At 43.9% G+C, this 26,211-nt stretch overlaps 1 non-coding gene across 1 annotated transcript, besides 1 other annotated feature; it reads left to right on the forward strand.

Annotated features, from left to right (window-relative positions):
* Nucleotides 250–1,055: an enhancer, noted in NCBI's record as "H3K27ac-H3K4me1 hESC enhancer chr7:148626232-148627037 (GRCh37/hg19 assembly coordinates)". NCBI's record gives its function as "activates a minimal SCP1, AML or CMV promoter by ChIP-STARR-seq in naive H9 embryonic stem cells {active_cell/tissue: H9 hESC(naive)}" and the evidence as "EXISTENCE:reporter gene assay evidence [ECO:0000049][PMID:30033119]".
* RNY5 (RNA, Ro60-associated Y5) lies at nucleotides 12,598–12,681 on the forward strand. The gene has a single exon (NR_001571.2).
* The last annotated feature ends 13,530 nt before the right edge of the window (nucleotides 12,682–26,211 follow it).

Raw genomic sequence — 26,211 nt, forward strand, 5'->3', positions numbered from 1 at the left:
GTAGTCCCAGCTACTTGGGAGGCTGAGGCAGGAGAATGGCGTGAACCCGGGAGGTGGAGCTTGCAGTGAGCCGAGATGGCGCCACTGCACTCCAGCCAGCGCGACAGAGCGAGACTCCGTCTCAAAAAAAAAAAAAAAAAAGTCGCAGTCGCCTTCTGTGGCATTATCCCATGCTCTCCTTCATTGTCACCCTCCTTCCCACCCCCAAACCCCTGCTTTTTCCACCTCTCTCCTTTTTCAGACCCCATAGGACCTTCCACCTCCCCTCAGTCTAACAGTAACTCAACGTTCACTCACACAGCAAGTGTTTTTTGAGCACCTCCCATGCCCCAGACACTGCACTGAGCACTGTTCATAAATATCCTCTCCTTTAATATCCATGGCATGACTCAGGTAGGTACTGTACTCGCCCTCATTCAGCTGACAAAGGAACCGAGGCACAGAGAAAGTAAGTAACCTGCCTAAAGGCACAAGCTGGTGAGCAACAGAGGAAGCCAAGACCTGAGCCCGGGAAGTCCAAGGTCAGTGGCCCTGCTCTGGGCGGCTTCCTCATTAGGCCTCCTCTCAGGCATGGGACAACCTCTAGGGGCCTTCTATTTGCTGACGGTTGTGTTACCTTGAGACCAGCCCACACTGGGCCTACTCTGTTGATAACAAAATGGTCAGTTACCTTGAAGGTACAACACAGCCAAAAAGCTCTCACGTCATGGAGCCCAGGCAGGCGCAATAGAAAACGCTGGACCCTCTAACAACACCCGGAACCTACGATTCCTCGTTTCGGAACCAAGAAGACTGAGACATGACCGGAACCCGAACTCCGGAACTCTTCCAGAAGCGAGGGGTCCAGTGGCCGGAAGATCCGGGACTAAAATTGGCCTCCACATACCTTACCATAAATGGCCAAATTTGAAGCCTTCCAATTGGACCCTGTCCAGCCAACATTCCCAAATCCTTTCCCTCTCCCTCCGAGCCCATAAACTTGCCCCAGACCCCAAGTCAGGGAGACAGATTTAAGCCCAATTCCCATCTCCTTGCTGGCAGGTTTTGCAATAAAGCCTTTCCTGTCTCAGCCAGGCACCGTGCCTCACGCCTGTAATCCCAGCACTCTGGGAGGCCAAGATGGGAGGATCGCTTGAGGCAAGAAGTTGGAGACCAGCTTGGTCAATATAGTGAGACCCCCATCTCAAAAAAAAAAAAAAAAAAAAAAAAAAAGCCAGCCGGGCGCAGTGGCTCATGCCTGTAATCCCAGCACTTTGGAAGGCCGAGGCGAGTGGATCACCTGAGGTCAGGAGTTCCAGATCAGCCCGGCCAACATGGAGAAACTCCTCCTCTACTAAAAATACAAAAATCAGCTGGGTGTGGTGGCACATGCCTGTAATCTCAGCTATTCAGGAGGCTGAGGCAGGAGAATCTCTTGAACCTGGGAGGCAAAGGTTGCAGTGAGCCGAGATCGCTCTACTGCACTTCAGCCTGGGCGACAAGAGTGAAACTCCGTCTAAAAAAAAAAAAAATTAATTAATTAAAACAAAAACAAAACAAAAAAAAATGTCTTTCCTGCCTAGCTGTTGGCTTCTGTGCGCATAGGGCAGCGAACCGTTGTTAACAGCAGTGGTGCAAGCATTAGGAAGTATAAGGTGCTGGGAGAGTATATGAGGAGAGGACCTGACACCATCTGGGCTCAGGGATAGCTTCTTGGAGTGGGGAGACAATTAAATTAGGGCCAGGCAGATAGAAGAGTCATCAGAGAAAGAGGTAGGGGAGGAACGTTTCGGTCCAGGAAATGAATTCATTCATGTGTTCGTTTACTCTCTCATTTGGAGTTTGATACTGAGCTGCCAGTGAACGCTGCTTTCTCAGAGGCATTGGCATCTGCAGACTAGAACCTGGGCAGGAAGCAGAGATTCTGGTAGTCATTCACTCATTAACCCTATCAATATCTGTCGACCCTAAACTGTGTCATTGTTAACCTCAGGCAACAAGGGTTGCTGGGGCTTATTTGACAAATGGATGAGGGGCCTTCCCTTCCTTCCTGAGATCTTCACACAAAGGCCACTTGGCAGGTGAGGCCAACTCCGGATGAACATCCTTCACTTCATCCATTAGTTTTTAATGCCCTTTCCAAGAAAAAGAGGCCAAGTGCACCAGACTCCTGCTGCACTCAGAGTCTGAGCTGCTCTGTACCACTGTATCCTCAAACTTGTCCTGGAAGACAGAATGGAAGTGATGGTTCAGCCAAATGGCCCACTCCTCCAAAGCTTTTCATACTTAAAAATCAAGCACTCTGGGAGGCATCTGCAATAATGTATGCTGTCTTGCTCTAGGCAGTGGTTACACGGGTATGCACACTATGTAAAAATTCATCAAGCTCTGCACTTAGGAGGTGAGCATCTTCTACATCTTTTTCACAATTCAATTAAAAAGTTTATTTAAAACATCAGCCAATGCAGTTCACTTTCTGGTTCTCATTAGCATTGTGGGAAAAGAGAATATTTGAGCTGGGAAGGACCCCTGAGAGTAGCTAAACTAGCCTTTACCAACATGTGTTCCATGGAACCCTGGCCCCAAGAGATTGTCTGAAAAACAGAAATGCATATGGGTCAAATAAACGGGACAGATGCTACATAGTATTTGTTTTAGGGATTCACAATATCAGCTCCAAAAGAGAGCTCATCGGTCTCCACACATCCCGCCCTCCACCTCATAGTCTCCATGTCAATATCACTTTTTCCATACTCCAGGAAATGGTATCCACCCAATGGCACAAGCCAGAAATCTGGGAGTCGTTTCTGATTTTTAGCTTTCTCTTACTTCTTGCAATTACATCTCCAAAACTGTTCTGAAATCTGTCCACTTTTGCCCCATTTTCACTCCATTACTCAGAACTGCCAGCATGACGTCTCTCCCCTAAAACACCTTGGGCCTCCTAATGGTTCTGCCTCCCTCTCCCTCTTCTCTACAAAGCAGCCAGAAGCTCCCAGAAAAACAGATATATCACTCCCCTGATGAAAATCTTCAATAGTTTCATGTCTCCCTGAGAATAAAGTTCAAAATCCCTAAAAAGGCCTCTGAGCTCCCTATCCATCTGGCTTCAGGCTGGACTTCCCCAGTGTCTCCAATGTTCCACGCTCTCTCAATAGGGGCATTTGCTCTTTTTCTCTGCCACTCTCGATCATAACCTGGGCAACTCCTCCTCATCCTGTGGGGCTCAGCACTTCTTTGAGGATGCCCCCTGCCATGCACTCCCATTTTCCTTTTTTTTTTTTTGAGATGGAGTTTCGCTCTTTTTGCCCAGGCTGGAGTGCAATGGTGCAATCTCAGCTCACTGCAACCTCAGCCCCCTGGGTTCAAGTGATTCTCCTGCCTCAGCCTCCCCAGTAGCTGGGATTATAGGCATCCGCCACCACGCCCAGAAAATTTTTGTATTTTTAGTCCAGGTTTCACCATGTTGGCCAGGCTGGTCTTGAACTCATGACCTCAGGTGATCCACCCACATTGGCCTCCCAAAGTGCTAGGATTACAGGTGTGAGCCACCACACCCGGTCCCAGATTTCCTCTTTCATAATATCCTTGAAATCCATGGCCTGCTCAATGGACAAGGACTATGTTGTCGCTCAGGGCTCTACCTCTAGCAATGCCTGGCCTAGGAGGCATTCAATACTTGCTTTTGAATAAATGATAATACTGAATGTAAAATAAAATGAAAAGAAAATTCCTCTTACACTTAATATAACTGAGAATTTCCCAAACAGAGTTGACCACAAAATTCTTTTCTCATTCAACCCTAAAAAACTTGTGCTCCTTGGAATACTTGGTAGAAAAGCGGATCTGTTCCAAGTCTCATTTTACAGATTCTGAGGCCCAGAGAGGTGAAAAGAACTGACTGAAGTCATTTAGCCCGTTAGTTCTTGAAAGACTATAATTTGTTCTCAGAAAATAACGTACAGTGTAGTAAAATTTAACTATATTTAACACTACTTGGAGATGTTTTGAAGCTAAGAAATACCGTAGAAATTAGAAATCTCAATTAAGATAAGAGGAAAGGGCTAGGCAAGAAAGATAAGAAGCTGGTTTCTTATCACTCACATCGAAATAAAATTAAATTATTAAACAGTTAAGTGAAAATAAGAGCAAAATCTAGAAAAAAAAGGTAAGGGAATATTTAACTGAATTATCAATGGGAAGAACGTTCTACACTTAAAAACAATGGAAGAAACCATAGAGTAAATGACGTGACTGCTAAAAACTAAAATGTTTATGTATTAAAACATCATACAATTAAAGGCAAGCAACAAACAAGGGAAAGGTTTTCAGCGTATGCTACAGATTCAGCTAATTATTCAAAAATTTATATTAGAGAGGCGGGGGGCGGGTGGCTCATGCTTGTAATCTCAGCACTTTGGGAGGCTGAGGCAGGCGGATCATTTGAGGTCAGGAGTTCGAGACCAGCCTCACAAACACGATGAAACCCCTACTAAAAATACCAAAAAATAGCTGGGTGTGGTGGTGCGAGCTTGTAATCCCACTCTGGAGGCTGAGGCATGAGAATCGCTTGAACCTGGGAGGTGGAGGTTGCAGCGAGCTGAGATCGTGCCACCGCACTCCAGCCTGGGTGACAGAGTGAGACTCCATCTCAAGAAAATATATATATATATATTAGAGCATATGCAAATAATAAGGAAAGCATTCAAGGGGAAATGTTTAGTAAACATGGAAAAAGTTCATGCTGACTGCAAATCAAACAAATGCAAATTAAATGAGCTGGGCATGCTGGCATACACCTGTAGTCCCAGCTACTCCGGAGACTGTGGTGGAAGGATCGCTTGAACCCGGGAGGTTGAGGCTGCATTGAGCTGTGATCATGCCACTGCACTCCAGCCTGGGTGACAGGGCGAGACCCTGCCTCAAAAAATTAAATTAAATTAAATTAAAAATGCAAATTAAAGCCACAAGAAACCACTGCCACCATTCAAATGTTCAAAGATTAAGAAAAAGAAAAATCGTCATGACTGGGCACAGTGGCTCACGCCTGTAATCCCAGCACTTTGGGAGGCCGAGGCAGGTGGATCACCTGAGGTTGGGAGTTCGAGACCAGCCTGGCCAACATAGTGAAACCCAATCTCTACTAAAAATACAAAAACGTAGCTGGGCATGGTGGCAGATGCCTGTAGTCCCAGCTACTCAGGAGGCTGAGGCAGGAGAATCACTTGAACCCTAGAGGCAGAGGTTGCAGTGAACCAAGGTCATGCCACTGCACTCCAGCCTGTGCAACAAAAGCGAAACTGTCTCAAAAAAAAAAAGAAAAATGGTCATTCCCAAAAACCTCACTAAGGTGAGGCACTAGTCAAGAACCCTCTATTCATGCTCATAGTCTTTCTGAGAAGTCCTTGGCAAGATGTTACGATAACCTGAAGAGTATGCTGAGACCTGGTGATTTCACTTCCAAAAATACTAAGGAAATAACCCAGTTGAGAGTCATGAACTCAGATGTACATGTTGGCATTATGTAAAACAGTGAAAACTGGAAGTCACTGGCGTGTTCACCAGTGGGGGTATGACTGAGTAAAAGGCAGGCAGGCCACAGCAAGGAAAACGATGCCCATGAAGAGATTTTAAACGTACGGGGAAGTGCTTTAACTTAGATAGGGTCTCACACAGGCTGGCCTTGACCTCCTAAACTCAAGCAACCCTCCCACCACAGCCTCTCAGAGTGCTGGGATTACAGGTGTGAGCCACCATTATAGGCATGAGCCACCACGCGTGCCCACTTTAACTTTATGTATTTATTTTTTTTGAGATGGAGTCTTGCTCTGACACCCAGGTTGGAGTGCAATGGCACAATCTCGGCTTACTGTAACCTCTGCCTCCTGGGTTCAAGCAATTCTCCTGCCTCAGCCTCCCAAATAGCTGGGACTACAGGTGCCCGCCACCACGCCCAGCTAATTTTTGTATTTTTAATAGAGACAGGGTTTCACCATGTTGGCCAGGCTGGTCTGGAACTCCTGACCTCAAGTGATCCACTCAGCTCGGCCTCCCAAAGTGCTGGATTACAGGCGTGAGCCACTGTGCCTGGCCTTTAACGTTTGTTTTTGTTTTTGTTTTTTGTTTTTGAGATGGAGTTTCGCTCTTGTTGCCCAGGCTGGAGTGCAATGGCATGATCTCATCTCACTGCAACCTCCACCTCCTGGGTTCAAGCGATTCTCCTGCCTCAGCCTCCCGAGTAGCTGGGATTACAGGCGTGCTGATTTTTGTATTTTTAGTAGAGATGGGGTTTCACCATGTTGACCAGGCTGGTCTCAAACTCCTGACCTCAGGTGATCCACCCGCCTCAGCCTCCCAAAGTGCTGGGATTACAGGCGTGAGCCACCACACCCAGCTAACTTATATATATTTCAAGCAAATGTAACAAAGTAAGAAAATTTTATTAAGTGTGACTGCAACTAAAGAAAAATGCAAAGACAATGAACTGGAAGAAAATAACTACTCTGAGTAATGAGCGTATCAAGTAATTTTTATTTTCCTCTTGCTATTTTTCTGCATGTTCAAATTTTATCGATAATCATATATTGCTCTTCTAATCAGAAACAGCAATTGCACCTTTTTCAGAATGCCTGTGTACCCTGGCATGTGGGCCCTGGGATGCCCAGCAACAGAAGGGCAGACAATAAACACTGAGCCAACACTGAGCCTGAGGCCCTCCAGGCCTACAAGGGCCAACCTTCGGCACCACTTGGCTCTTATTACCTACTTGAATTTTCCACATCGGATTTAAATTGCAGCCACCATGCATTGGTGTGAAAGATGGCGCCAGAGGCAGAACAGCCACAGCAGGGCCGAAACAGGCTGCCTTCTTCCCAGCGCCACTATGTGTACACACCTGAGTTGTCTCATTCCTACATGTGACCCACCTGGCCAATACAATACAGTTATTCCTCTGTATCTTCAAGGGATTGGTTCCAGGACCCTCTCAGACACCAAAACCCATGGATGTTCAAGTCCTTTATATAAATTGGTGTAATATTTGCATATAACCTATGCACATCTTCCTGTATACATTAAATCATCTCTAGATTACTTATAATACCTAATACAATGTAAATATTGTAAACATTTGGAAAATATTTTTTCCAAATATTTTTGATGGGCATTTGGTTGAATCCACGGATGGACAACCCACGAATGGCCCAGAACAGCGGCTCATGCCTGTAATCTCAGCACTTTGGGAGGCTGAGGCAGGAGGATCCCTTGAGCCCAGGAATTTGAGACCAGCCTGGGCAACACAGGGAAACTCATGTCTCTTTAAAAAAAAAAAAAATTAGGCTGGGCACAGTGGCTCACACCTGTAATCCCAGCACTTTGGGAGGCCGAGGCGGGCGGATCACGAGGTCAGGAGATCAAGACCATCCTGGCTAACACGGTGAAACCCCGTCTCTACTAAAAATACAAAAACTTAGCCAGGCGCGGTGGCGTGCACCTGTAGTCCCAACTACTTGGGAGGCTGAGGCAGGAGAATGGCATGAACCTGGGAGGCGGAGCTTGCAGTGAGCCGAGATGGTGCCACTGCACTCCAGCCTGGGCAACAGAGCAAGACTCCGTCTCTAAATAAATAAATAAATAAGCAAGCTGGGCATGGTGGCATGTGCCTGTAGTCCCAGCTTCTCAGGAGGCTGAGGTGGGAGGATTGCTGCAGCCCAGGAGGTCAAGGCTGCAGTAAGCCATGATCACACCACTGCACTCCAGCCTGGGGGGACAGAGCAAGACTCTGTCTCAAAATAATAATAAAAAAGAATCCATGAATGCAGAACCCACGAATACGGAAACAGAGGGCTGACTGTAGGTCTTTCTCTACCTGTGTGAACAAAGCTGGTTATATTCAACTAAATAGCCAAAAGAAAAAGAAGGTATTACTTATAGCATAAATGCTTTGGATAACAGGAGTTGAAAAGAGGACACAAATGTAGTGTTGGTCAGTTTTAAAACTAAAACTCAGGCCAGGCGCTGCAGCTCACGACTGTAATCCCAGCACTTTGGAAGGACGAGGTGGGCGAATCACGAAGTCAGGAGTTCGAGACCAGCCTGGCCAACATGGTGAAACATCATCTCTACTAAAAATACGAAAAAATTAGCTGGCCGTAGTGGCGGGCACCTGTAATCCCAGCTACTCGAGAGTCTGAGGCAGGACAATCACTTGAACCTGGGAGGCAGAAGTTGCAGTGAGCCAAGATCCCGCCAGTGCACTGCAGCCTGGGCAACACAGCCAGACTCCTTCTCAAACAAACAAACAAACAAACAAAACAACTAAAACTCAGAAAAATAAAATTCAATGGTCATTACTTAATAAGTTCAAATGTGCTGGGCACGGTGGCTCATGCCTGTGATCCCAGCACTTTCAGAGGCTGAGCTGGGTGGATCACCTGAGGTCAGGGGTTCGAGACCAGCCTGGCCAACATGGTGAAACCCCGTTTCTACTAAAAATACAAAAATTAGCCAGGTGAGCCCAGTGGCTCATGCCTGTAATCCCAGCACTTTGGGAGGCCAAGGCAGGTGGATCACGAGGTCAGGAGATCAAGACCATCCTGGTTAACAGAGTGAAACCCCGTTTCTACTAAAAATACAAAAATTAGTCAGGTGGGCACAGTGGCTCACGCCTGTAATCCCAGCACTTTGGGAGGCTGAGACAGGTGGATCACGAGGTCAGAAGATCAAGACCATCCTGGCTAACAGGGTGAAACCTTGTCTCTACTAAAAATACAAAATATTAGCCGGGCATTGTGGCGGGTGCCTGTAGTCCCAGCTACTCAGGAGGCTGAGGCAAAAGAATGGTGTGAACCCGGGAGTCGGAACTTGCAGTGAGCCAAGATTGTGCCACTGTACTCCAACCTGGGCGACAGAGCAAGACACTGTCTCAGGAAAAAAAAAAAAATTAGCCAGCCATGTTGGCACATGCCTGCAATCCCAGCTACTTGGGAGGCTGAGGTAGGAGAATTGCTTGAACCTGGGAGGCAGAGGTTGCAGTGGGCTGAGATTACGCCACTGCACTCCAAGCTAGGCGACAGAGCGAGACTCCATCTCAAAAAGTTAATTAATTAATTAATTAATTAAAATAAATAAATTCAAATGAACCTTAGTGAGCATAGGTACTATATCCCAGGCATTAGATTAGGTACCTTTGACCCCTACAATAATATCTCTGAGGTAGAGAAAGATGCATGGGCCAAGCACTAGCGTGCAAGCACATCAGCGTTTAGCCTTTTAAGCTGAGAGGGAAACTGCTCTGCTCTTTACAGCTGTGGTCCTAGAGGAAGATATTTCTTTTGCTTTTTTATTTTTTATTTTTGAGACAGCGTTCTTGCTCTGTCACCCAGGCTGGCATGCAGTGGTGCAATCATGACTGACACAGCCTCGACCTCCCGGCTCAGGCATCCTCCCACCTCAGCCTCCCAAGTAGCTGAAGCCATAGGCACACACAGACATGCACCAACACGTTCAGCTAATATTGTTTATTATTTTTTTAGAGATGGGGGTATCTCCCTATGTTGCCCAGGCTGGTCTCCAACTCCTAGCCGCAAGTGATTCTCCCACCTTGGTCTCCCAAAGTGCTGGAATGATAGGTGTGAGCCACCATGCCCATAATAGGCATAAACTGGGAAGATATTTACGTTATCTGATTTAACTACCTGATAGAGCTGTTTTGAGGATGAAATGATATAATACTAGTGAAGATCCATGGAGGTACATCCCAATAAAACAGTAAAGAGGCAGGGCACGGTAGCCCATGCCTGTAATCCCGGCACTTTTGGGAGGCGGAGGCGGACAGATCCCTTGAACTCAGGAGTTCGAGACCAGCCTGGGCCACAAAACTCCCCTCCCCTCACATAACCCCTTAACCTTTTTAATCAGTACTTGTTCTTTTTTTTTTTTTTTTTTTCTTTGAGACAAAGTCTCGCTCTGTCGCCCAGGCTGGAGTTCAGTGGCGCCATCTCGGCTCACTGCAAGCTCCCCCTCCCGGGTTCACACCATTCTCCTGCCTCAGCCTCCCAAGTAGCTGGGACTACAGGCGTCCGCCACCACGCCTGGCTAATTTTTTTGTATTTTTAGTAGAGATGGGGTTTCACCGTGTTAGCCAGGATGGTCTCGATCTCCTGACCTCGTGATCCGCCCGCCTCGGCCTCCCAAAGTGCTGGGATTACAGGCTTGAGGCACCGCGCCCGGCCTTTAATCAGTACTTGTTTTAATATTTCATGTAGTTTCCTTTAGGCCTGTAGGGAAGGGAAAATGCTTTTCCTCTACACTCTCATGTTCAATAACTAGGGGCTTGCAAATTAAGCTGCAAAAGACAGGTACCTTTGACAAAAGGAAAAAAGCAGTTTATGTGTGTAATACACATACACACAGGAGTGCTCAGTGATGAGCAACTCAAAGGGGTGGTTCGCATTTGGGGCTTATATACCTAACTTAGTTGAGGAAAAAGAGGGGAGAGAAAGGCTATTATGGGGGAAAAAATGGGTTTCCTGAGGAAAGACAAATAGGAGTTTTCAGGAGAAGAAACAGGAGATAAGAAAGTTTGTGAGACTGTCTAGACAGGTATGGGTGGTCTCCTTCAGGGCCATAAAACTTCCCTGATGAATGCATTTATGAGTAGACCTAACCCAAAAGGGGAATTTATAGCAGCCTCCTTTCTCAGAAGTCACTGCTTTTAGTCAGATAAGGGAAGCTCTGAGAAAGTTTCTTTCTATATGTTCATTCTCAATTACCTTCAGCTCAAAATAATCCTGATGACAAAGTGTCACATTTTGGCATGGCATATTCTGATCTCCCTTAGGTTAAATAACTATTACAAAGGGAGATTAAAAGCTGATGCATTCTATCAATTCTAAAGAAAAAGATACCAGTAATATAATATAATGAAATAATGTAAAAAGTATAATTTATACAATCTAGAATGATGACTATTATGTAATTGCCACCTTAATCATAAGACAAAAATCCCAAAAGTATAAGTGTCACTAAAGCAATTATCCACCTTTAAAAGACAGCATTTGACAACATTCCTAATATCTTTCTTAATCTACTGCTTTTCCTAGATTAAATGTATTTTTTAAATCACTGTCAGCTCTCTTAATCTTTAGAAATTTTTAAGCTTTTAGTACCATCGTTTTCTCTAGGACAATTTTTAAACATTTTAATATCTTAAATTTGAGGTTTTCTTCATTTTCCTGAAATTATCAAATCAACCCCGAAATCCCCAATATCCAAACTTTTTCTCACTAATCACTATAGGTTATGAGGAAATCACCTTGGGCCTTTTTCTGAACAATTTCCTAGGTTTGTCTTTACAGGAAGAAAGAAGAGTAAGTTCTAGGAAAACCCTAAGAAATATTTTGAATAAAATGCTTTATTTTGCCTAAGTGCAGAAAATCTATACAAGTTTCCCCAAAAGGAAGTTTTTAATAAACCAAAAAAGGCAAAAATATCCTTAGAAATAATTCAGATGAGGCTGATATTCCAAAGGGCTTAATTATGGAATCTATTTCATATTTTAGTTTCAGAGCGTAATTCATATGACATATAAAACACAAGGTTCGGCCTACGTCCTCAGACGAAATCTTCTCCCTGAAGGAATATAAATTCATATTTTTGCTAGCATTTTTAAGGTGCAAAATACTTAAGTGTGGGTAATCTCCTCTGTCCTTAGCCCTTTCGTTATAAACATTTAAAACTTCTAAAGGTCACCAATGGCTTGCACTTTCCCAATCAATTACTGAAAAGAAATGTGCCAGGCTCACGGTGGATTGAGAAAATATGAGTAATTCATGGGCGATTTAAACTGCCGAAGAACTCCCAGAATAGGATTTTTAGCACACACGGGTGTTACTGGGTGGTATCTACAAGTATTGGGGGAAAAGAGGGTAGACTTATGGGGGTCACGTGTTGGACTCCTGTTGACTCACTCTCAATCTCTGATCAGTAGAGACCTGGGTGTAGACGATCGGGATTTCTGGGCAAAGGGGCTCCTGATGATGAAACAAAGCCGACAGGTGGTACCTGCAAATCCCCGGAGAGGGACAGGCCGGCCGGCGCCCTCTCCCTCCCCAGAGCCCAGCATCTGAGCCCTCGGCGTCCGCAAAGTCCAGACGCTGCCACTCAGCCCTGAAACTGACACGAAACGGACAAGACAAGCTGCCGCGCTTCAGCCACAGGCACGCGAGTGACGGGATTTCCTGGATCATTGACCCGCGGCCCAGCCCTGGTCCGGCAGGTCGCGGGCTCTCAGCTCCGGCGAAGCTGTCCACCCAGACTAAAGCGCAATTGCCCGGAGCCCGCGTGGCTGCGAACCACGCGCCGGGTTTACTTTCATATTTAGCTAGGCGCTACCCACAATGCATTTGTAAAAGTGAAATGCAGAAAAACCTTGGTTGATTAACATAATTCTTACAAACTCTCTTAAGAGAGAGCATTTGGTTTTGTTTTCATTGTGTTTAATCAAAAAGTTTTACACATTTTATTTTTACGATCATGGCATAGGCTCTGAAAAGTCTCCTTACCTAGAAAAGACCCTAAGTAGGCACTATAAATAACAAGAGACTCACAGGATAACACAGTTGGTCCGAGTGTTGTGGGTTATTGTTAAGTTGATTTAACATTGTCTCCCCCCACAACCGCGCTTGACTAGCTTGCTGTTTTGCACTAATAACAGTAGTAGACAACGTTTACATAAATCAATAAAAACGCATATAAAAGTAACCTTTAGTTGACGGTTTGAACGAAAGAGTAGCTTTTAGTTGATTTGAAAAACTTTCAAGGAAGCCTATTGGTTATAAGCTTCTTTTAGTAAGATTAACTTCCCAGCAGCGTTGAAGTATTAACCTTCAAAATGCCTGAGAAGAAAATTTACACGAAAGGAATAATTTTGTTTTAATTACCTTTGAATGTATTAAATATTGTATTCGGTTTTTAATAAACCTTATAATCAAGGTTACTTTTCTATATATGTGAAAATATATATATATATATACACGCATACATACACATATACACACACATACATATATGTATGTATACTTTCCCCCCCACCACCCCGAGACAGAGTCTTGCTTTGTCGCCAGGCTGGAGTGCAATGGCGCGGTTTCGGCTCACTGAAACCTCCACCTCCTGGTGGCTCACGCCTGTAATCCCAGTACTTTGGGAGGGCGAGGTGGGAGTGGGAGGGGATCGCTTGAGTTCAGGAGTTTGAGACCAGCTTGGGCAGCATGGCGAAACCCCTGTCTCAAAAATGAAAAATAAAAAAGTTATAAACAGTTTGTTGCTATAAATTCAATAATTGTGTAGGTGTGAGTGAGCAGATAATGTACATTTTTTGCATAAGTTTGTTCGTTTGTTTCACATATAAAATATATAGGTTTTACAATCTGAAAGCTATAAGAAAAAAAAATTTAAGAATATATAGGTTCACAGATTCGGATCAATATCCAATTTATAACCAGCTAAGAATGGAGGTGTTCATCGGTTTCACCTCCCTGGCAAGGCTTCCTCGCTGGCATTCATCCAGCCTTTCCGTCTGCAGTTGTCAGCCAGCAGTTGCTTAGAGTTGACACTCAGATTCAATCAAAAAAGTCCAACACACTGGCTTTCTTCATTAGCAAATAAACTTGGCTGCACTATTGAAAAATATGCACCCTCTATTGTAAATTTGCTCCAAAAAAATGCCCTTGAAAAAATTGGCAAAAGGGCCCTATCATTACTAAATCTCGACAGAAGAAAAGGGCATCATTTGTTAATAAGGGCCTGAGGAGCATTCACAAGCTGCTGAGAGCTTGCTGAAAACGGGCACTTTGTGTCTGTCAGCCTTCTTAAACTATTAATACCTGAGTCCTGAATGTAAAAGCCTTGACATACAAAGCCCCCAAATTCTAGAATGGCTGGTAGTCTACAAAGTTAGAATACCAGAATCTCTTTTTTTTTTTTTTTTTTTTGAGACGGAGTCTCGCTCTGTCGCCCAGGCCGGACTGCGGACTGCAGTGGCGCAATCTCGGCTCACTGCAAGCTCCGCTTCCCGGGTTCACGCCATTCTCCTGCCTCAGCCTCCCGAGTAGCTGGGACTACAGGCGCCCACCACCGCACCCGGCTAATTTTTTGTATTTTTAGTAGAGACGGGGTTTCACCTTGTTAGCCAGGATGGTCTCGATCTCCTGACCTCATGATCCACCCGCCTCGGCCTCCCAAAGTGCTGGGATTACAGGCGTGAGCCACCGCGCCCGGCCCAGAATCTTGTTCAATGTGCTAAATGTGATAGGCACTTCAATATCCACTTCAGGTGACAAATAATTAGAAATGAGGTCCACCGTGAAGGAAATGGACCAGAACTTAGCTTTTGTATATATAATTTCAACCTATGACTCAAACCCAAGAGTGACAATGAGTAAGATCAGGTTTTAGAGTGAAATAATTTTTTATGAAAAAATATATATCACTGAGTGCGGTGGCTCATACCTGTAATCCCAGCACTTTGGGATGCTGAGGTGGGCGGATCACTTGAGGTCAGAAGTTTGAGACCAGCCTGGCCAACGTGGTAAAACCCTGGTATCTACTAAAAATACAAAAATTCGGCCGGGTGCGGTGGCTCAAGCCTGTAATCCCAGCACTTTGGAAGGCCAAGGTGGGCGGATCATGAGGTCAGGAGTTCTAGACCAGCCCGGCCAACATAGCGAAACCCCGTCTCTACTAAAAATACAAAAATTACCCGGGAGTGGTGACAGTCACCTGCAATCCCAGCTACTTGGGAGGCTGAGGCAGGAGAATTGCTTGAACCTGGGAGGCGCAGGTTGCAGTGAGCCAAGATTGTGCCACTGCACTCCAACCTGGGCGACAGAATAAGACTCCATCTCAAAAATATATAATATATCATATATTATGTATATATTATGTATATAATATATCATATATTATGTATATATTATGTATATAATATAACATATATTATGTATATATTATGTATATAATATAACATATATTATGTATATATTATGTATATAATATAACATATATTATGTATATATTATGTATATAATATAACATATATTATGTATATATTATGTATATAATATAACATATATTATGTATATATTATGTATATAATATAACATATATTATGTATATATTATGTATATAATATAACATATATTATGTATATATTATGTATATAATATAACATATATTATGTATATATTATGTATATAATATAACATATATTATGTATATATTATGTAAATATAACATATATTATGTATATATTATGTATATAATATAACATATATTATGTATATATTATGTATATAACATATATTATGTATATATTATGTATATAATATAACATATATTATGTATATATTATGTATATAATATAACATATATTATGTATATATTATGTATATAACATATATTATGTATATATTATGTATATAATATAACATATATTATGTATATATTATGTATATAATATAACATATATTATGTATATATTATGTATATAATATAACATATATTATGTATATATTATGTATATAATATAACATATATTATGTATATATTATGTATATAATATAACATATATTATGTATATATTATGTATATAATATAACATATATTATGTATATATTATGTATATAATATAACATATATTATGTATATATTATGTATATAATATAACATATATTATGTATATATTATGTATATAATATAACATATATTATGTATATATTATGTATATAATATAACATATATTATGTATATATTATGTATATAATATAACATATATTATGTATATAACATAACATATACTATGTATATAACATATGTATATAACATATATTATGTATATAGTATAATATAGATATTATGTATAATGTATATAATAGATATTATGTATAATGTATATGATAGATATGTATAATGTATATGATAGATATTATGTATAATGTATATGATAGATATTATGTATAATGTATACGATAGATATTATGTATAATGTATATGATAGATATGTATAATGTATGATAGATTATATAATGTATATGATAGATTATATATAATGTATATGATAGATATTATATATAATGTATATGATAGATATTATATATAATGTATATGATAGATATTATATAGTGTATATGATATGATATATTACATATAGTGTATATGATATGATATATATTATATATTGTGTATATGATATGATATATATTATATAGTATATATGATATGGTATATTATATATTGTGTATATGATATGATATATATTATATATTGTGTATATAATATAAGGAAAAAAGTAGCATCCTTACAGAACATGAAAAACGTAAAAACAACCATAGAGAGAGAGAGAGAGAGAAAGATATCTTGTTGAAATGAATGCTATCATCCCTTGCATTTCAGGGAACTCTGCAAGGATCCTGCCTCCTGGCACTAATTTTTTTGTGCCCTTGTGTAATTCCCTCTTCCTGAGTGTAATCTGAACTTACTGACTCATTTCTAAGGAATAGAATAAGACAAAAGTAAAGTGCCTCTCTCCTTTGCCGGGGAAAGCCAGCTGTCACGTACTGAACAGCCCTACAGAGGCAAAGAGCTATATATGCAGCCAACAGCCAGGGAGGCCCTGAGCACTGTGAGAGGGCTTGCGGCCAATCTCTCCCCAACTGAGCCTTGAGATGACCACAACCGTGGACCACACCTTCATTTCAAGCCTGTGGGAGACCCTGAGCCTGAGCACCCAGCTAACTGTGGCCAGATTCCTGACCCACAGCTAGTGTGAGGAAATCAATGTTAGTTGTTAAGTGTTGGGTTTGTTTGTTATGCAGCCATCAATAACTAATACATGCACTTTACCAAGAAGTGCTGCCATTGCTGAAGCATATTTGGAACCCTTCTGTTTTGAAAGTCTCCTTCAAAGTTGAAGTGTGACCCATGCAAGAAAATGGGTCGTGTTATTTTACATCACTTCATTTTTGCCAAGACAGTGCTTCCCATTGCGTTATCATATTCAACGTCCTTGACTTTGATGGACTCTGGACCGTTTTAAAAAGCAAATCTATCTTCAAAAGAGGAAAATTTGCTGCCCCAGAGATACCAAAAAGAATATTCCACGGCTTCTGAAGACAAACTCATTTGGTTTTATTTATTATTTTATTTTATTTACCTTTGAGTTGCAATCTCACTCTGTCACCCAGCCTGGAGTGCAGTGGCATGCACTCATGGCTCACTGCAGCCTCGAACCCCTGGGCTCAAATGATCCTCCCACCTCAGCCTTCCAAGTCACTGGGACTACAGGCACGTGCCACCATGCCTGGATAATTTTTAAAAAATATTTTCGAGGCCAGGCACGGTGGCTCAAGCCTGTAAACCCCAGCACTTTGGAAAGAGGCCGAGGAGGGCACATCACGAGGTCAGGAGTTTGAGACCAGCCTGGCCAATATGGTGAAACCTCATCTCTATTAAAAATACAAAAATTAGCAGGGCGTGGTGGTGCGCATCTGTAGTCCCAGCTACTCGAGAGGCTGAGGCAGAAGAATCACTTGAACCTGGGAGGCGGAGGTTGCCATGAGCCGAGATCGTGCCACTGCACTCCAGCCTGGGCAACAGAGCGAGACCTTGTCTCAAAAAACAAACAAAAATTTTTCGTATCCATCTCTGAAGTATCTGGGGAAAAAAAGAAAATAAAAATATTTTTGTGGCTGGGCACAGTGGCTTACGCCTGTAATCCCAACATGTTGGGAGGCCAAGGTGGGCGGATCATGAGGTCAGGAGTTCGAGACCAGCCTGGACAATATGTGAAACCCCTCCTCTACTAAAAATACAAAAATTAGCTTGACGTGGTGGCGCGCACTTGTAATCCCAGCTACTCAGGAGACTGAGGCAGGAGAATTGCTCGAACCGAGGAGGTGGAGGTGGCAGTGAGTTGAGATCACACCATTGCACTCCACCCTGGGTGACAGAGTGAGACTCCGTCTCAAAAAAATATGTATATATATTGGGATCTCAAAATTCTGGCCTCAATTGATCCTCCTGCCTTGGGCTCCAAGTTTTTATTTTGCTTTGTTTTGAGACAGGGTCTCATTTTGTCACCCAGGCTGGAGTGCAGTGATGCGATCTCGGCTCACTGCAGCCTCGAACTTCTGGGTTCAAGTGATCCTCCCACCTCAACCTTCAGAGTAGTTGGGACTACAGCGCAGGCCGCCTGGTTAGCTTTGTATCCCAAGATTTTGAATACATTTTGATCAATGGCTGTATCCTTGGAGTAATTTTTCCAAGCGATTATTTTGAAATGGATAATAGAGTATTTACTTTGGATATTGAATGCACCAATTCCTCAATGAATGAGTTGTGCTGTGTTTATTTATTTAGTATCTAACAAAAATATAACACTTCCTACTGATGATAACTCTATGTGGTAGGTGCCATTATGCCTGTTTTACAGCTGAGGAAACTGAGGTAGAGGAGTGGCCCACGGGCACACAGCAAGTACGTGGCACAGTAGGAATCTAATCCAGGCAGTCTGGCTTCTGGGACTTTGCACTTTACTACAAAACTAACTTGCTTCTGTGTTTGTTCACTTTGTTTTCTAGTTATATATCTCATACAATAATAAGTTCTAGACAAAAACAGTTCCTTAATATTCATTGTAATAAAATTTCACCTCTATTCAGATAATATTTCAAATAGATGGGTTAGGAAAGTGTGTGAAACATGAAATTGATATTGTTTGTTCATACATTCTCCTGTAAGAGAAGGTAAAATTAATCAGAGCAACCATCTTTGGCCAGATCTAGGAAAGGCACAAGCTCGAAGGAGCAAATTAAGAATTTGCTGTTCATGTAAAGCCTGACTTTTTTTTTTTTTTTTTTTTTTTTTTTTTTAGTTAGTAATATATCAGACTTCGACTAGAACTTTCCACTCCTTCAGCTAACCCCTGCTGCTGCTATGCCCAAGGGCAATTCGATCAGAGCCCATGCCAGATTTGAAGGCTGGCCCTTATGGAAGCCACTGCCTTTGTTACCCTGCCAGAGACCTCAAGAGAACTACTGAGTTACTTTAGAGGGTTCCTTGACTGCTAAACCTCGTTTGACTTTCTTCTGCTGCTTGTAAGGGTGTCCAGCTGAGTCTATCCCTTCTGGCTCTAACCAATAGACAGATCCTTGCTGTTCCACAGTTTCATGGGACTGGACCCCCTCCCTTGGGTCTGCTCTCTGTTCTGGAAACCACGAAAGAGTCTTGTTTATTCCTTTTTTGTGTGTTGCCATTTAGCATATCCTTTGCTGTTTCCTAATAATTTGCAAATGTGTCTTATATCCCCAAATAGATAATAACTTCTTTAGTAGTGGGTATGCAATTGTATTCGTTTCATTAGCCTCAATGCCTTCTACATAGGAGTTGCTTGTTTTAAAAACAAGAACCCAGGCTGGGGTGGTGGCTCACCCCTGTAATCCTAGCACTTTGGGAGGCGGAGGTGAGAGGATCACTTGAGGTCAGGAGTTCAAGACCAGCCTGGCCAACATGATGAAACCCTGTCTTTACTAAAAATACAAAAATTAGCTGGGTATGGTGGCAGGCAACTGTAGTCCCAGCTACTAGGGAGGCTAAGGCAGGAGAATTGCTTGCACCCAGGAGACGGAGGTTACAGTGAACCGAGATTGCACCACTGCACTCCAGCCTGGGTGACAGAGCTAGCTAGACTCCATCTCAAACAACAACAACAACAACAACAAAACATAAAAATTAAGCTGGGTGTGGTAGCTCACGCCTGTAATGCCAGCACTTTGGGAGGCCAAGGTGGGTGGACCACTTGAGGTCAGGAGTTCAAGACCAGCCTGACCAACATGGTGAAACCCCGTCTCTACTAAAAATACAAAAAATTAGCCGGGTGTGGTGGTGCACATCTGTAATCCCAGCTACTCGGGAGGCTGAGGCAGGAGCATCGCTTGAAATCAGGAGGCGGAGGTTGCAGTGAGCCGAGATCATGCTGAGAGGTGACAGCATGCTGGCAGTCCTCAGAGCCCTCGCTCGCTCTCGGCACCTCCCTTGCCTGGGCTCCCACTTTGGTGGCATTTGATGAGCCCTTCAGCCCCCCACTGCACTGTGGGAGCCCCTTTCTGGGCTGGCCAAGGCCAGAGCCCACTCCCTCAGCTTGCAGGGAGGTGTGGAGGGAGAGGCACGAGCGGGAACCGGGGCTGCGTGCGGCGCTTGCGGGCCAGCTGGAGTTCCGGGTGGGCGTGGGCTTGGTGGGCCCCGCACTCGGAGCAGCCAGCCAGCCCTGCTGGCCCCAGGCAATGGGGGACTTAGCACCCGGGCCAGTGACTGCGGAGGGTGTACTGAGTCCCCCAGCAGTGCCGGCCCACCGGCGCTGTGCTCGATTTCTCGCTGGGCCTTAGCTGCCTTCCCGCAGGGCAGGGCTCGGGACCTGCAGCCCGCCATGCCTGAGCCTCCCACCCACTCCATGGGCTCCTGTGCGGCCCCAGCCTCCCCAACGAGCACCACCCCCTGCTCCACGGCACCCAGTCCCATCGACCACCCAAGGGCTGAGGAATGCGAGCGCACGGCGCAGGACTGGCGGGCAGCTCCACCTGCAGCCCCGGTGCGGGATCCACTAGGTGAAGCCAGCTGGGCTCCTGAGTCTGGTGGGGACGTGGAGAGTCTTTATATCTAGCTCAGGGATTGTAAATACACCAATCAGCACCCTGTGTTTAGCTCAAGGTTTGTGAGTGCACCAATCGACACTCTGTATCTAGCTGCTCTGGTGAGGACATGGAGAACCTTTATGTCTAGCTCAGGGATTGTAAATACACCAATCGGCACTCTGTATCTAGCTCAAGGTTTGGAAACACACCAATCAGCACCCTGTGTTTAGCTCAAGGTTTGTAAATGCACCAATCGACACTCTGTATCTAGCTGCTCTGGTGGGGCCTTGGAGAACCTGTGTGTGGAAACTCTGTATCTAACTAATCTGATGGGGACGTGGAAAACCTTTGTATCTAGCTCAGGGATTGTAAATGCACCAATCAGCACCCTGACAAAACAGGCCACTCGGCTCTACCAATCAGCAGGATGTGGGTGGGGCCAGATAAGAGAATAAAAGCAGGCTGCCCAGCCAGCAGTGGCAACCTGCTCGGGTCCCCTTCCACGCTGTGGAAGCTTTGTTCTTTCACTCTTTGCAATAAATCTTGCTACTGCTCGCCCTTTGGGTCCACGCTGCTTTTATGAGCTGTAACACTCACCGCGAAGATCTGCAACTTCACTCCTGAGTCCAGCGAGACCACAAGCCAACCGGGAGAAATGAACAACTCCAGACACGCTGCCTTAAAAGCAGTAACATTCACCGTGAAGGTCTGCAGCTTCACTCCTGAGCCAGTGAGACCACGAACCCACCAGAAGGAAGAAACTCCAAACACATCTGAACATCAGAAGGGACTAACTCCAGAGGCGCCACCTTAAGAGCTGTAACACTCACCGCGAGGGTCCGCAGCTTCATTCTTGATGTCAGTGAGACCAAGAACCCACCAATTCCGGACACAATGCCAGTGCCCTCCACTCGGCAACAGAGCAAGAGTCTGTCTCAAGTCAAAACAAAACCATAAAAAATTAAAATAAAATAAAAAAATAAAAACAAGGACCCATGTTATCAACTATATGCAAGATCTAGGTTGACTTCAGGAATCATGTGAACACCAGAAGAGGCTCGATCTCTTTATCTCTGAGTTGCTGTATCCAACCTTCAAAAGATTCCAAACTACTAGGAATACTGATGAAACTCAGCAGGATTGAGGATTGGTAGTGACCTTGACCATTTTGATGAGTTTTCAAACTACTTACTGAACACTATGATTAAAAAATGGTTATTTGATTTTGTATCTATATATTTGTGTGTTACTTAATATAAATAATTGCACTCAGGGACTTGTTTGACTCAAATGCAGATGTTTTAAGCCCTAAGAATCTGAATTCAAAAAGGGTTCCAGGTATCCATGTCCTAACACTTGGGTTCTCATCCCCTTTCTATTCCTTTACATGGAAGCAAAACACCAGTCACTTTCACAAGAAGATTGTCAACAAATATTTACTGGCCGCCGCTATTGGCAAAGCGCACTAGCAAGGAAAACAAGAGAAACAGCCTCTGTCCTCAAGTAGCCTAGTAAATAATGCGATTTTCCTGCCACTGTGTTTCTCTCTAAAGAACCACAAAGTAACACCAAAGTATGCTGTAAAATCACATTGAAAAAAATTGTTTTCTTCAAAACAACATACAGAAGGTTGGATAAAATTGAGATAATAAATCGATTTAAGGAATTTTAAAATATCTTTTTTTTTTTTTTGAGACGGAGTCTTGCTCTCTCGCCCAGGCTGGAGTGCAATGGTGCAATCTTGGCTCACTGCAACCTCCGCCTCCTGGGCTCAATCAATTCTCCTGCCTCAGCCTCCCAAGCAGCTGTGATTACTGGCACCCTCCACCACGCCCAGCTAATTTTTGTATTTTTTTAGTAAAGATGGAGTTTCACTATGTTGGCCAGGCTGGTCTCAAACTCCTGACCTCGTGATCCAGCCACCTCGGCCTCGCAAAGTGTTGGGACTACAGGTGTGAGCCACTGCACTGGCCTAAAATATCTTTTTAATGTAACATTTTATTGTATATAATACATATATTATCAGTTTTTTGTTTTTTTGTTTTTTGTTTTTTTTTTTAAGAGATGGGGGTCTCTCTATGTTGCCCAGCCTGGTCTTGAACTCCTAGCCTCAAGAGATTCTTCCATCTCAGCCTCCGAAAGTGCTGGGATTACAGATGTGAGCCACTGTGCCTGGCCTATAATACATACATTATCTTTTTTTTTTTTTTTGAGATGGAGTTGCTCTGTCACCCAGGCTGGAGTGCAGTGGCACGATCTCAGCTCATTGCAGCCTCCACCTCCCGGGTTCAAGTGATTCTCCTCCCTCAACCTCCCGAGTAGCTGGGACTACGCCCTCCTCAGCCTCCCAAAGTGCTGGAGTTATAGCTGTGAGCTACCATGCCCAGCCAAGAATATGTTTCTAAGAAAAGAACATATGCAACTTTGGGGTGTCAGTTGCTGATAGGAAATCCATGTCACTGGCTTATGCTGGTCTCAGGCTCTGCAGGATGTGCTCATCCCTGGCAGGTTGGTTAGCAGAAGACTGGAGGAGGTGAGGAGGATAGAGAGACTCGTATAGCAGGGAGCAATGGTCTCTGTAAGGCCACAAATAGTCACTTCATCAAGCGGTAGAGAGCTGATCTGGCAACATTACCTGCTTTAGCATTTCTTTCCTTGGAGCAATGTGTCATAGCTATTTCCCTCCTCCAGGAGAGTAAGAAACAGAACAATCTAGGCAGGGGTGAGGCCACAATGCCGCAGCTTCCTGAGCACAGCAGGAAGATACAATGGAGATTCCTTTTTTTAATTTTTAATTTTTGTGGGTACATACTGTATACTCTGTGTATATATTTATGGGATACATAGTACAATGATGTGATCTCAGCTTACTGCAATCTCTGCCTTTTGGTTGGGTTCAAGTGATTCTCCTGCCTCAGCCTCCCGAGTTGCTGGGATTATAGGCACCCGCCACCATGCCCGGCTAATTTTTTGCGTATTTAGTAGAGACGGGGTTTTGCCATGTTGACCAGGCTGGTCTCGAACTCCTGACCTCAGATGATCCGTCCACCTCGGCCTCCCAAAATGCTGGGATTACAGGCATGAGCCACTGTGCCCAGCCGAGATACCTCGATGCAGGCATACACTGCATAAAAATTACATCAGGGTAAACAGGGTATCCACCACCTCAAGCATTTATCCTTTATGCTACAAACGAGCCAATTATACTTTTAGTTATTTTCAATGTACAATAAATTATATTGTTGACTGTAGTCACCCTGCTGTGCTATCAAATACTAGATATTACTCATTCTATCTAACTACATTTTTGTACCCATTAACCATCCCCCACTTCCCCCGACCCCATGGATATTCTTGACTAAATGAGAAATACATTTCATAAATGCTGTCAGGATTCAATGACTTAACTGCAGGTGTCGGTCCAAATGCCACATGTGTAGATACAGGAGAAAAATCCTAAGTGCCAAGGGAAGATTGACATACTGAAACCAAAAGCCTGCTGCCACCTTCCTATGGACCGAATGTTTGTGTCCTCCCCAAATGTGTATGTTGAAACCCTAACGCCCAGTGTGATGGCATTTGGAGATGAGGTCCTTGGGAGATGATTAGGTCATGAGGGTGGACCCTCACATAATGATGATCGTGCCCTTTTATGAACAGGCACAAAGAGATGATCTCTCTGCCGTGTGAGGACACAGTAAGGAGGTGGCTGTCTGCAAACCAGGAATAAAGTCCTCACCAGGATCCAAATCAGTCAGTGCCTTGAACTTGGACTTGCCAGCCTTCAGAACTGTGAGAAATAAATGTTTGTTGTCTAAGCCACCCAGTCAATGATTATTTGTTACAGCAGCTGGAGCTGAGCAAGCCACAGCTCATCAGATTCCATGTCTACCACTTATTAGCACCATGATCATGCCCAAGTCACTCTTTTGAGGCTTGGTTTTCTCATTATTAAAATAGATGTAATAATAGTACTACCTCATAGAATCATTAGGAGGATGAACGACTGTACTTGGTACAGTCCCAGATCAGTGGTAGCTAAAATTAATGCTATCTATTACAATGATTATTATTATTGTTTGCTCTTTATTTCATAGGCATGATATTTTCTATATTGTAAATTATTCTGGTATAAACAAAATGTTTTTAAATAATATCATTTGACTCTGCTTGTGAGGATTTTAGGAAAAGATAAGGACCTTGTACCCAATTCAAGAGCCCAAGGTACCAGGCAGGGTGGCCTTAGACCTCTGCCTGCTGCTGAATTCTCAAATGTATTCTCAAGTCAGTTTCCCCAGCCCTGGCCAATCGGGGCATCTCATCTACCAACTCTGCTCCACTGCACCAGGCTCTGCGCACCTGACTTCCTTACCTCTCTTGCCTGAGATTAGGACCTACTCTCATGCTTCCACTTGCAGCCCTGAGGCCTTGCTCTTCACCTACCCCGTGAATGTCCTGAGAGAGCAATAAAGGATTGCTCTTGGAACTCAGTTTTTACATAAAGAAAAAAAGGCAATAAAACTTCAAGTGAAGACTCTTAATAATGTGGTACTCACTGGCTGGGCACCGTGGCTCCCGCCTCTAATTCCAACACTTTTGGAGGCCAAGGCGAGAGGATCATTGGAGCCCAGGAGTTCAAGGCCAGCCTGGGGAACATAGTGAGACTCCATCTCAAAATAATAATAATTATATATATATATAAAATATGTATATATATAGAGAGAGACAGAGACCGAGAACAAACTCACTGACAGCCTTCAAACAAGGTGCTTTTACAGCAAGCTTTGAAGAGTAACAGAGAAAGAGAAATACATGTTGTAGCCAAGCCAAGAGTTGGAATAGTGGGCACCGCGATGGGCATCGACTTATAACCTGCTGGGCCCCGTGTGTGTTCCCTCTCCAGGCTCACTTGGGCCTATGTGAGACTCTTATTCCTGTTCTACAGAGGAGGAAAATGAGACCCAAAGAGGAGAACTGGCTCATGCACAGTGAGCAGTTGCAGCTTAGCGACCAAAACCAGCCCCTGGAAGCCAGGCCCAGGCCCTTCCCTGCCTGTGGCCCTCACCGCGGCTGCTGCCTGCAAGCTGGGAGCCAGACCAGAGGAGCTGGTGCGTCAGGCATGAAGCAGCAGGTCTGAGCAGAAAGAAAGAGACAAGTACAGAAGAGAAAGAAAAAAGATTTTTAAAAAGAAAGAAGTCCCTGCCGGGTCAACCTGCCAAAACCAAAACACACAAAGCCTTCTTGTTGCAGGGTTTGGAGTGGCCACCTTGCAGAATGCCACAGGGCTGTGGGGAGCGGTGGGCACAGCCTATCCCCTCCCTCAGGGCCTGATCCAAAGACCAGACAGAAAGGCCGCCTGTTCCCATGTGGTTTATGGTTCTGTGCTCCCCGCCTGCCGCCTTCTTCACCTGGGCCCCTGCGGCTGCCTGGGGCTGTTTCCATAGCTGCATGGCAGGTTCCAGGGGGAGCCTCTGGGAAGGGAACCCCACGTGCTCATCTTCCTGGAGAAGGGGGTGGTGTAAGCCCACAGATTCTGCCAGGCCCTTCC

This window comes from Homo sapiens, chromosome 7, assembly GCF_000001405.40.
Source record: "Homo sapiens chromosome 7, GRCh38.p14 Primary Assembly".
Taxonomy (NCBI): Eukaryota; Metazoa; Chordata; class Mammalia; order Primates; family Hominidae; genus Homo; species Homo sapiens.